Genomic DNA, 12,116 nt, shown 5'->3' on the forward strand with positions numbered 1-12,116 from the left:
CCAATTTCAAGATATATTTATAGGATTCCCCCTATGAGCTGGGTGCCGAGGTTACAACCTGAATGACACATGTAGACTGTCATTGAAAAACTCATAGTGTAGTAGGAGATATAGAAATGCAAACAAATTCCAATGCAGTGTGATAAAGGCCATGACAGGTGGCATTAAGGAGGCAGGAGGGATTAATTCTCTTCATGGTTGAGGAGGAGGAAGAAGGCATTCTGGGGTGGATGTAAGACTTCAGTAAGACAATGTGTCCACAGAACACTTGGCACACGGTAAGTGCTCAAAGAATGTGAAATTCTTTCTTCACAAAGAGCCCTAGGAATGCAGAAAATAAAATTTATATGTTTTGGCCTGGCGCAGTGGCTCACACCTGTAATCACAGCACTTTGGGAGGCCAAGGCAGACAGATCACCTGAGGTCAGGAGTTCAAGACCAGCCTGGCCAACATGGTGAAACCCTGTCTCTACCAAATGTACAAAAATTAGCCAGGCGTGGTGGTGGGCACATGTAATCCCAGCTACTTGGGAGGCTGAGGCAGAACTGCTTGAACCTGGGAGGCGGAGGTTGCAGTGGCTGGCACTGCACTCCAGCCTGGGTGACAGAGTGAGACCCTGTCTCAAAAAAAAAAAAAAAAAATTAGATGGGCATGGTGATGCATGCCTGTAATCCCAGCTACTCCGGAGGTTGAGGCACGAGAGTTGCTTGAACCCGGGAGGCAGAGGTTGCAGTGAGCCAAGATCGCACCACTGCACTCCAGCCTGGGCAACAGAGTGAGACCCTGTCTCAAAAATAAAGGATATTAATTATAATAAATTTATTGTATAACAAACTAATGTTGATGTCTTAGGGTTAATACTGTGAATTTCAACTGATAATTCTAACTTTGCCAAAGAACAATGGTCAGAAATCCTTGATTCTTCCTTCAATGGACACATATTTATTGACCCCCTTTTATGTGATACCGGGTAACAGAGACACAAAATTGAACTTACAACAAGTTTACAGATGACTCGAAAAGACAAAACAAGTTCTCAATAATTATAATACACGGCAGAATGGCATGTTGCATTTATCCCCCACCTCCCCAGTCACTGCTTCAGAGGTTTTCTTACTCTTGAAATAAAGCAGTGAGATAATGTTAACATGAGTCCCTTCTGATCAGACCTTTCCTGCACTTCTATGCTAATTTCTAGGACTAGATATTTAGAAATGGCTTCCCCTTGGTGAAAACAAGAAATGATAAAGTTTGTCAGTAGAGACAAGTCAAATACTTAGTGTCCTCAGAGCAATATCTTGCTAAATCTACCACTTAATGAGTGGCTCAGCTGTACAGAGATAATCCGGAGAGTCAGTAATCTGTGGGAGGGCAAGGAACAAGGTGTCATTCAGCTTTGGGGGCAACTGAGTCTGTGGGATAGGATGTGGAGATTCCTAAATCAGAGATCAACAAAGCACCGCATTGAGACGAGGGCTCTCAGGTGTAGCCCATATGTGCTTTCTCCTGTGCACTCACCTTCCCAAGTCTACCAATAACAGACCCCTCCAAGCCCCAGAAGCCAGGGACAGGTACAGGTGTGGTACCATGAGGGTGAATCAGAGTCCTTTGGGGGAATTTCTCATCCTGCAGATAAGACTGCTATAGGTTTTCCTCAGGAATGGTAGAAAATAAAACCAACACAGAAAACATATAGAGAAAAACAGTCCTGATGACCAAAGCATGTCATGCTGCATGCTTTGGAATTTCCAGTTAGGTAAATATATATGTATAAATATAATCTGATGCATTCATTTGTCGATTGATTCCTTAAGCTATTTTTAAAATTTTCTTTATTTTTAGAGATGGGAGTCTCACTATGTTGCCTAGGCTAGTCTCGAATTCCCCAGCTCAAGCGATCCTCCTGCCTCAGCCTCCTGAGCAGCTGGGACTACAGGCACGCCCCACCATGCCCAGCCCTTAAACTATTTTGGATTAGGTTTCTATTACTTGCAGCCAAAAGTTCTGAATTAACAAAGGGCCTCACCCTGGCTCTTCCTTGGTATATATTACTATGGGGATGGGATGACCGAGGTCCCATAGAAATCTCAACTGATCCATTCTTCCCATCTATTTTTCCAGGTCTCATGAAAAGTTGCCATTTTCCCTCCTCAATTTGTTCCCTAAAATTTTACTCAGCCAGGCATGGTGGCTCACATCTGTAATCCCCTTGGGAGCCTGAGGCAGGTGGATCACTTGAGGCCAGGAGTTGGAGAACAGCTTGGCCAACATGGTGAAACCCCATCTCTGTTAAAAATACAAAAATTAGCCAGGTGTGGTGGCAGGTGTCTGTGGTCCCAGCTACTTGGGAGGCAGATGCAGGAGAATCTCTTGAACCCATGAGGCAGAGGTTGCAGCGAGCCAAGATCACACCACTGCACTCCAGCCTGGGTGACAAGAGTGAAATTTCATCTCAAAAAAGAAAAAAAAAAAGTTTAGGTTATGACTCGTTCCCTGTACTGAAAAGGACATTTAATAATTTCTACAGAGTTTTTGGGATAACAGAAGAGTGGTGCTAATCTAACATTTCTTTGAAGAGGCATGCTAGCACTCAGACTGAAAATTGACAAAGCACATTGTAATCAAAGAAGGCTCCTCCTGGAGGTTCCTTATTTATAACTTCTGAAAAGTGGTCACATTGTGCGCGCTCTCTCTCTCTCTCTTTCCTCTGTAGTAGAAGCTAACAGAATACCCTCACGTTCGTGGAGAGAACCTTTTTCACTGATTATAGCTGATTGCCGCTTACATGCTGCCCTGAAAAGCTCTCTTGCCTGTCGATCTCTTGTCTGTGCCTAATGTCCTGACAGTGTTAACTGAGATGGCTCAAAGGACTAAGAAACAATTGATCATCCCCATCTTTCTATTCCCTTTTATTTCATCTGCCTTCTCCTGCTTTCCTCTGAGAAAAAAGGCAGAGAGAAGAAACAAGAGTAAAGAACAAAACCCACAAGGAGGCAACTTGCACAGGAAACTGTGGAAAATCCATAAGACTTTTTGACTAGGGTTGAATCAGATCAGCACCTGTGTTGTGTGGGTTATGCAGTGGCTCACTCACAAATCAAGGCAAGGCTACCAGCAGGAGTGATAGCTTCCAAACTGTCACTTGGTCTAAACTATTCTGTATCTTGGCTGGAGAACTTAAACACACACACACACACACACACACACACACACACAAAGAGAGAAAAACCTAGAATCTTTGTAGGGTCCTGGGCCGCAATAGTTTTTAAAAGCACCCTCTAACACCACCCCAGCCAGGTGAGTCTAATGTGTAGCCAAGGCTGGAAAAAAAAAATCACTTGTCTATGCAGACATTCACATAAACTCTTTATCCAACCATTGCAATTGTTCAGCCAATTTTGGCTATAACCCAAATAGCTACCAACCAAAATGGCTACCTAGGCTACTCTGTTTCCTCTCTACCAGCAGACAACCACAGCGATCACTGTTCGAAGTTTACAGTGTGTCAGGCCGTACTAAGCACATTACATGCGTAATCTCTAATCTTTACAGCCACCCTGGATTGGAAAGTAGTACCATTCCTGCTTTTAGCATAAGAAACAGAAAAATGTCCAGGCACAGTGGCTCACGTCTGTAATCCCAGCACTTTGGGAGGCAAAGGTGGGTGGATCACCTGAGGTCAGGAGTTCGAGACTAGCCTGACCAACATGGTGAAACCCCATCTCTACTAAAAATACAAAAATTAGCCAGGCGTGGTGGCACATGCCCTATAATCCCAGCTACTCAGGAGGCTGAGGCAGGAGAATCACTTGAACCTGGGAGGCGGAGGTTGCGGTGAGCCAAGATCACGCCACTGCACTCTAGCCCAGGCAACAAGAGCAAAACTCCATCTCAAAAAAAAAAAAAAAAGAAAGAAAGAAAGAAAGAAATGGAAAAATGGAGCTGTTAAAGAATTTGCCCAAGACAAGGTACAGCAATTAAATGGCACAGCAAGATCTGAATCCCAGCTGGCCTTAACTCCCAAGTTCGACCCCTCTCCACTACAAAGATGGTCCCTCACTTCGGTGTGTCTTTACTTCTGGCTTTACTTTTTTCCTGCTTTTGACAAAATCCAAAGTACTTTCAGTTCATATCCTTCTAATATCCTGCCATGTGTACAAATATATGACTATTTAAAAACAAGCAAAGGGCCGGGCATGGTGGCTCAAGCCTGTAATCCCAGCACTTTGAGAGGCCAAGGTGGAGGGTCGCTTGAGCCCAGAAGTTCGAGACCAGCCTGGGCAACATAGTGGGACCCCCTTCTCTTCAAAAAATTAAAAATGAGTTGAGCGTGGTAGTGTGTGGTCTGTAGTTCCAGCTACTCGGGAGGCTGAGGATGGAGGATGGCTTGAGTCCAGGAAGTCAAGGCTGCACTGCAGCCTGGGCAACAGGGTGAGATCCTATCTCAAATAAAATAATTTTTTAAAAAATTTTAAATAAATAAATAAAAATAAAAACTAGCAAAACCCAGAGAAATACTTATAAATTCAAAGTAAGCCTCCCTGGCCAGGCACACTGGCTCTTGCTTGCAGTCCCAGTACTTTAGGAGGCTGAGGCAGAAGGATAGCTTGAACCCAGGAGTTCAAAACCAGCCTGGGCAACATAGGGAGACCCTGTCTCTACAGCAAATTAAAAAAAAAAAAAAATTAGTCAGGTGTGGTGGCACATGTCTATGGTTCCAGCTACTTGGAAGGCTGAGGCAGGAGGATCACTTGAGCCTGGGAGCCTGGCAGGTCAAGGTTTCAGGGGGCCATGATCACACCACTGCCCTCCAGCCTGGATGACAGAGCAAGACTCTATCTCAAAACCAAAACCAAAACCAAAGTAAGCCTCCTTTATTTTGCAAATAAAATGTAAGTGCTTGTTTTATATATATATATATATATATATATGTTTATCTAATTCCAGAAAGCAGAGACAAATGTTGAGCGCTGTTAGCAGACCAACTTCAAAATTCTAATGCCCATTTTTAAAATGATCGTACTTCACTGAACAAGCTGGTTCTGCTTAGTTTGATGAATACACAATTGGTTTGGGCCATATAACCAAAGGTGAGCCTTCCAGTAATGCACACCCCAGAATACTGGTTACCTAAAATTGATGCTTTTTTAAATTCCCTTTCCTGAAGATACTTATATTACTGGTAAATTTAGGAATTCCTCTTGGGAATTCTTGAAAAGCAAATTATACTACAGCATTCTATTAAAAATTGTTAAGTATTGGCCTTGGCCAGGCATGGTGGCTCACGCCTGTAATCCCTGCGGGGGGATCACCTGAGGTCAGGAGGTTGAGACCAGCCTGGCCAACATGGGGAAACCCGTCTCTACTAAAAAGACAAAAATTAGCCTGGCATGGTGGTGCTTGTCTGAAGTCCCAACTACTTGGGAGGCTAAGGCACGAGAATCCACCCAGAAGGTGGAGGTTGCAGTGAGCCAATATTGCGCCATTGCACTCCAGCCTGGGCAACAGAGAGACTCCATCTCAAAAAAAAAAAAAAAAAAAAAAATTGTTAAGTATGACAATTGATGTACGATGTGCTAGCTTTTGATTGCAAGAAGGTATAAGGCATTTATACATAGCGTCTGAAAATACAAGTTTTCACTTCTAACACAATGTATAAATGTGACTGTGATTTGGTGCCTTTATAAACTGGAGGTGTTACAGCCTGACCAACACGGAGCAACCCCGTCTCTACTAAAAATACAAAATTAGCCGGGCACGGTGGCACATGCCTGTAATCCCAGCTACTTGGGAGGCTGAGGTAGGAGAATGGCTTGAACCTGGGAGGCAGAGGTTGCGGTGAGCCAAGATTACACCATTGCACTCCAGCCTGGGCAACAAGAGTGAAACTCCAACTCAAAAATAAATAAATAAATAAAAGAAGACTTAGCTGAATGGAAAGGGGAGTGATAGATGGCACAATGTAGCAAAACCTTAATAACTAAGAAATCTGTGTGATGGGTATATTGGAATTTGTATTTTATTCCCTCTAAACTTCAATATGTTTGTAATTTTTAAAAAACAAAACCAATTAGTACATACTTACATGAAGACTGCAAAACTCAGAGGGCTAGTCAAAGTTCTCTTAAGGTTTTGAAATAACATTCTGTGATTGATGTAATAGCACCCCTATTTCATTAAAAGTAGGTTAGGATGTAGATTTTCTTTTGTAAAATTAAGGTAAATCTAATTTCAATTTGTTATTAGAATTTTGTTTTATTTTATTTATTTGTTTATTTTGAGATGGAGTCTTGCTCTGTCGCCCAGGCTGGAGTGCAATGGCACGCTCTCAGCTCACTGCAACCTCCGCCTTCCGGGTTCAAGTGATTCGCCTGCCTCAGCCTCCCGAGTAGCTGGGATTACAGGCACACACTACCACGTCCAGCTAATCTTTTTATTTTTAGTAGAGACGGGGTTTCACCGTGTTGGCCAGGCTTGTCTTGAACTCCTGACCTCATGATCCTGCTGCCTCAGCCTCCCAAAGTGCTGGGATAACAGGCATGAGGCACCGCGCTCAGCCTGTTATTAGAATTTAAAAAATTAAGTTCTATGACTCCTTGGAATAAATTAGATAAACACAGGTCACAATTGCAGGTCTTAGAACCATTGGGTTAATCATATTATAGAGTATTCACTCACTCATTCACTCAGTCATTCATTCAATAAATGTGTGCTTAATGCCGCTCTTTTGCAAGATCCATAATAATATAATTATAACCCTCTATAAACTTTTTTTAGCATAAAGATAACATAAATCCCTAAAACACCTTTGTATTTGGGGTATCCCAAAGCTACTAGCTGTGCTTAAACAATTCTAACATATCTGGTTGTGACATTAAAAAATAGGCCGGGCGCAGTGGCTCACGCCTGTAATCCCAACACTGTGGGAGGCCGAGGCGGGTGGATCACCTGAGGCCAGGAGTTCGAGACCAGCCTCGCCAACAGAGTGAAATCCCGTTCTACTAAAAATACAAAATTAGCCGGGTGTGGTGGTGCATGCCTGTAATCCCAGCTACTTAGGAGGCTGAGGCAGGAGAATCACTTGAACCCTGGAGGTGGAGGTTGCAGTGAGCCGAGATCGTGCCACTGCACTCCAGCCTGGGCGACAAGGGCCAGACTTCGTCCCCCCCCAAAAAAAAAAGGGCTGGACTCAGCGGCTCATGCCTGTAATCCCAGCACTTCGGGAGGCCGAGATGGGCGAAATGCTTGAATCCAGGAGTCGAGACCAGCCTGGGCAACAAGGTGAAACCCCATCTCTACAAAAAATACAAACATTAGCTGGGTGTGGTGGTATGTGCCTATAGTCCCAGCTATTCAGGAGGCTGAGGCAGGAGAATCACCTGAGCCCAGGAGGTCGAGGCTGCAGTGAGCCATGACTGTGCCTGGGTGATAAAGCAAGACCCTATCTCCAAATATATATATATATAAAACCAACAAAAGTTTCATCTACTTGACCCTAAACAACTTGCCTTAATTTTGTACTTAATGAATTGGTCATAGGTATAGCCTTGCAGGGATAACAACATAGTACATAAACTTCTGAATTTTACCAAATGAATTAGAAGGTAGTTTAAGTCATTTTAAAAAATAATTTAGCAACTTTTCTTATGCTTTCTCAATACATTTAAAACCTGATTGACTTACCAGATGTTCCTTAACCACAATTTTTTCAGTAACAAATCTATCACAGAAAACACTGACCATGGTCGTGACATTCTTTGGTTTTCTATCACGTCTCTTACTCAGGTTTCACTTGTTTCTGAATTTCAAATTCTAAGGTTTGAAAAAATATCTGCAAGTCAATATTTAAACTGGCCACTGGCAATGATTATGTTCTTCATTAAGTTCCTCAATGTTAAAAAAAAAAACAAAACAGCAATATAAAACAAGCGATCCCGGGTGACTGAAGTTTTAACTCAGAGTCCAAATGCTGCATAGAAGAGCAGCTGCTGGCTTCATTTATCGTGACGAGTAAAATAAAACATAGGAAAACAGTCGCAGTTTTAATTTAAGCATAATCTAAACTTCAACTTGATCCTTGCAATGTAGCATCATACCTTATGGAGAAACATGAAGACAAAGGTTGTAATAAAATTTGGATGATAAAAAAAGTTGGATGACAAAGAAGATGTGGAAAGCAGAAAGAGGATTGGTATGCAAAACCCATTTAGGTTCTGCTGCTCACAGTTCTAACCTCAGAGGGTGGAGAGATACACAGCCCATACTTCACATAGTCAGATGCTGAAAACAAGCATCTAGGCCAGTGCCATCCAACAGAGCTTTCTGTAATGATGGAAACACTCTGCGTCTGCACCGTCTAATACAAAAGCCACTGATACGCATGTGCCACAAAGTCCTTGGCATGTGTGTAGTGCAAACAAGGAATTATTTCATTTAATTTTAAACAAATTTAAATAACTGCACTGCATGCAGCTATGGGCTACCATATTGGACAACACATGTCTGTGTTCACAGGGTAGCTCCTGGACAGAAGAATGAGAGATTTGGGGCAGAGTTAGATCAGTAAGTCTTAGAAATGCTGCACCCACTCTGGTGGAGAAGCTAATCTAACTAATGCCTTTTCCATTGCAATGGTGAGCAGAAGCTTCCAATACACTTTAATACACTATTAGAAATGTGTGATCAACTTTTCTCAAGAGTCAACAGATGCTCAGATAAGAGTGAAATAAAGCTCAGAAACTCAGAAAATAGTGGCCCTATTTTCAGTCTTTTAGTTCTTCTTCTCCAGAGGCAGAATTCCCTTTCTGATGCTGACATTAATTACCCACTCAACACCACCACAAGCCCCACAGCGAGGCCCTCAAATGCACACATCTTCTTCCACCTGTCTCCTGCTTGGCCTGCTTGAAGGTTTCCATCCATGTAGACTTGAACACTAACATGGTCTAGAACCTCCATACAAGCCAGTCAGCTCAATAGAATGAATTTACAGAGGCCAAGCTTGAGCATTTTGTAACTGTTTCTGACATATGTCTAAAGCAGGTTGGACTGCCTCACTTCTTGGATGAGAAGGGTGGGTACGTCACATTGGACAAATCACCTGTTATATTGTTTTCATGTTGACACATTTCCCACAGCAAATTTGTTTGATGTGTCCTTGTTATTCTGTTCAAAAAATGGAGTCCAGAACGTCATTTGATGAATATAGCCTGGTCTGAATTGAAGGGAAGTCAAGCATGAAGGAGGAAGTGGACTGAACTCCCTGAATGCTGCTGAGAAATGCTTCCCCAGCTAAGACAGTGTTTTTCCCATCTCTCTGGTAAGGAGGGGTGAGAAGAGGTGAGGAAGAGAGGCCAATGAGTGCTCGTGAATCAGTAAGACTCCAACGACACAGAACTTGAGAACAGTTGAATTTGCTGGGTGCAGTGGCTCAGGCCTGTAATCCCAGCATTTTGGGAAGCTGAGGCAGGAAGATTGCTTGAGCCCAGGAGTTCAAGACCAGCCTGGGCAACATGGGGAAACGCCATCTTTACAAAAAAATTTAAAAGTCAGCCAGGTGTGGTGACATGCACCTGTAGCTCCAGCTATTCAGGAGGTTGAGGCAGGAAGATCACTTGAGCCCAGGAGGTTGAGGCTGCAGTGAGCAGTAATCATATTGCTGTACTCCAGCCTGGGTTGAGAGAGCAAAACCCTGTCCGAAAAAAAAGACGGCTGGGCGTGGTGGCTCATGCCTACGATCCCAGCACTTTGGGAGGCCAAGGCAGGATGATTGCTTGAGGCTAGGAGTTCAAGACCATCCTCGTCAACATAGTGTAACATTGTACAACCCTGTCTGTACAAAAAAAAAAAAAAAAAAGAATGGAAAAAGAAAACAGTTGAATTTGTTAAGCCTGGACAGACAGAGGACAGTGTTACATCACAGACTCAGAAACAGTGACTAAAGTCTGACATTTCTATCTTCCCTCCTCCTTCACTTCCTGTCTTTGAAACAAGCACTACAAAGACATGAAATCAGAACCTAAAACTGAGAAGAAAGAAAAACTGTCACAGGAGTATGATGAGTCTGCATTAGGCAAAGGACTCTCCTGACAAGGTGGCCTCAAGGTGGAAGGAGGCTGGGTAGATGCTTTTGGAGGTGCTGATGGCCATTAGTAGGTGGTGGGCATTGGGAAGAGTAGGTGTACTTCACATCATGGATGAGGGGATTATTCATGAGAGGTGATTTGCAGGTTTGCCTCTAAGGGAGGACAAGAGTGAAAGAGGAGGAGTGGGTACCAGCAATGCCAGTCCTGGACGTTCTGAAAAGATGCAGAGGATTCCAGTTTGAGAAGTGCTACTAGCGGTGTCCACTGGAAGGTCAAAAAGGTGAAGGTGAAGGGCAGCAGAGACAGTGACTGTGGTTACCCCTCACTGCTGCCCCTCACCTTGGACAGTGTTTACTGTCATTGTCTTGTAGATTTGCCAGCAGAAGGCTTTTAATTATTTCAGTTATTTTTAGAAATAATATGTATTATATGCTGCTTCTCATTATATAAGAAACTCATGGAAAGCATGGAAGAGCCTAAGAGGGGGGAGAGAAGAATATATGTAAATATATTACACACACACACACAGACATATACACACACAGATACATATATACATACATACACACACACAGAGGTATGGCCAGAGATTTCATATTAAAGACAATAGGGACGCAAAAGAGGACACGGAAATAAGCAAAATTAACAATGAAATTAGGCTGGGCATGGTGGCTCACACCTGTAATCCCAGCACTTTGGGAGGCTGAGGTGGGAGGATCTCTTGAATTCAGGAGTTCAAGGCCAGCCTGGGCAACATAGTGAGACCCCCGTCTTGGAAAAAAAAGTGAAAAAAAAATTTTTTTAAGGAAATGGTATACCCTCTCATTATGGGTGGGAATTAGAGTGCTCAGATTCTTCAGGGATGGTTTTCTATTTTGCATTCTTTCTTTGGAACAGTATTAGTAGGGATACTGAGTTAAGCATCTTTAAGGTTCTTGACATACATTGACATGCTGTTTTCTGAATAAGGCATACCTATTTGTGTGGCCACCAGGCATGTATGAATAAGCTGGGGTCTTTCATGGAAGGGAAATGGTATCTCTCTGTTGTTTCCTTCTTTTTTTTTTTTTTTTTTGAGATGGAGTCTTGCTGTGTCACCCAGTCTAGAGTGCAGTAGTGCAATCTCAGCTCACTGAAACCTCCACCTCCCAGGTTCAAGAAATTCTCCTGCCTCAGCCTTCCCAGTAGCTGGGATTACAGGTGCCCGCCACCACACCTGACTAATCTTTTTGTATTTTTAGTAGAAACGGGGTTTCACCATGCTGGCCAGGCTGATCTCGAACTCCTGACCTCAAGTGATCCACCCGCCTCGGCCCTCCAAAGTGCCGGGATTACAGGCTTGGGTCACTGCACCCGACCCTCATTGTTGTTTTAATTTGCAGGTTATTTGTGAGGTTGTAAACCAGTATTTTTCTTTTGTGAATTAGACTGTTTATTTCTACTTCCCTCCCCACCTCAGCTTCTATGATAAGGCCTTGTTAATAGAAATTAAATTAAAAGAATATTGGATTACTTATTTGTGCTGAAAGTCCCACCCACCAAAAATTATCACCATTTAATTTGTCCACCTTCTATTCACATTCCTTATTTTGGTCATGGTTTTTGTAGGGCCTAGATATAAGTCATTTGTGAGTTATCTGCCAATGGCAGATTCTTTACCAAAGAAGTACTTGGGGAGGACCAAGGACTGCCAACCTCTGAAGACAAAAAATTGTTGTTTGTATTTTGTTTTTCAGAATAAGCACAAGATTCCTTAATTTTCCTTTAGGCAAAGATAAAGATTTTTATCTTTAAAAGATGCTGGGCTATCAGTTAGGCACGGTGGCACATGCCTGTAGTCCCAGCTGCTCAGGAGGCTGAGGTAAGAGAATTGCTTGAGGCCAGGAGTTTGAGGCCACAGTGGCTGTAATTGCACCACTGCATTCCAGACTGGGTGACAAAGCAAGATCTTGTGTCTAAAAAGAAAAAAAACAGGCTGGGCACTGTGGCTCACGTCTGTAATCCCAGCACTTTGGGAGGCTGAGATGGGT

At 43.0% G+C, this 12,116-nt stretch overlaps 1 protein-coding gene and 1 non-coding gene across 39 annotated transcripts in view; both read right to left on the minus strand.

The window, feature by feature from the left end:
* RBM47 (RNA binding motif protein 47) overlaps nucleotides 1-12,116 on the minus strand; it is a 207,573-nt gene that overhangs the window by 69,868 nt on the left and 125,589 nt on the right. The gene's annotated exons all lie outside the window — the stretch shown is intronic.
* On the minus strand, nucleotides 8,893-8,972 carry MIR4802 (microRNA 4802). The gene has a single exon (NR_039966.1). It is a non-coding gene; the product is annotated as a microRNA 4802 (primary transcript).

The sequence above is a fragment of the Homo sapiens genome, chromosome 4 (genome assembly GCF_000001405.40).
Source record: "Homo sapiens chromosome 4, GRCh38.p14 Primary Assembly".
NCBI classification, from domain to species: domain Eukaryota; kingdom Metazoa; phylum Chordata; class Mammalia; order Primates; family Hominidae; genus Homo; species Homo sapiens.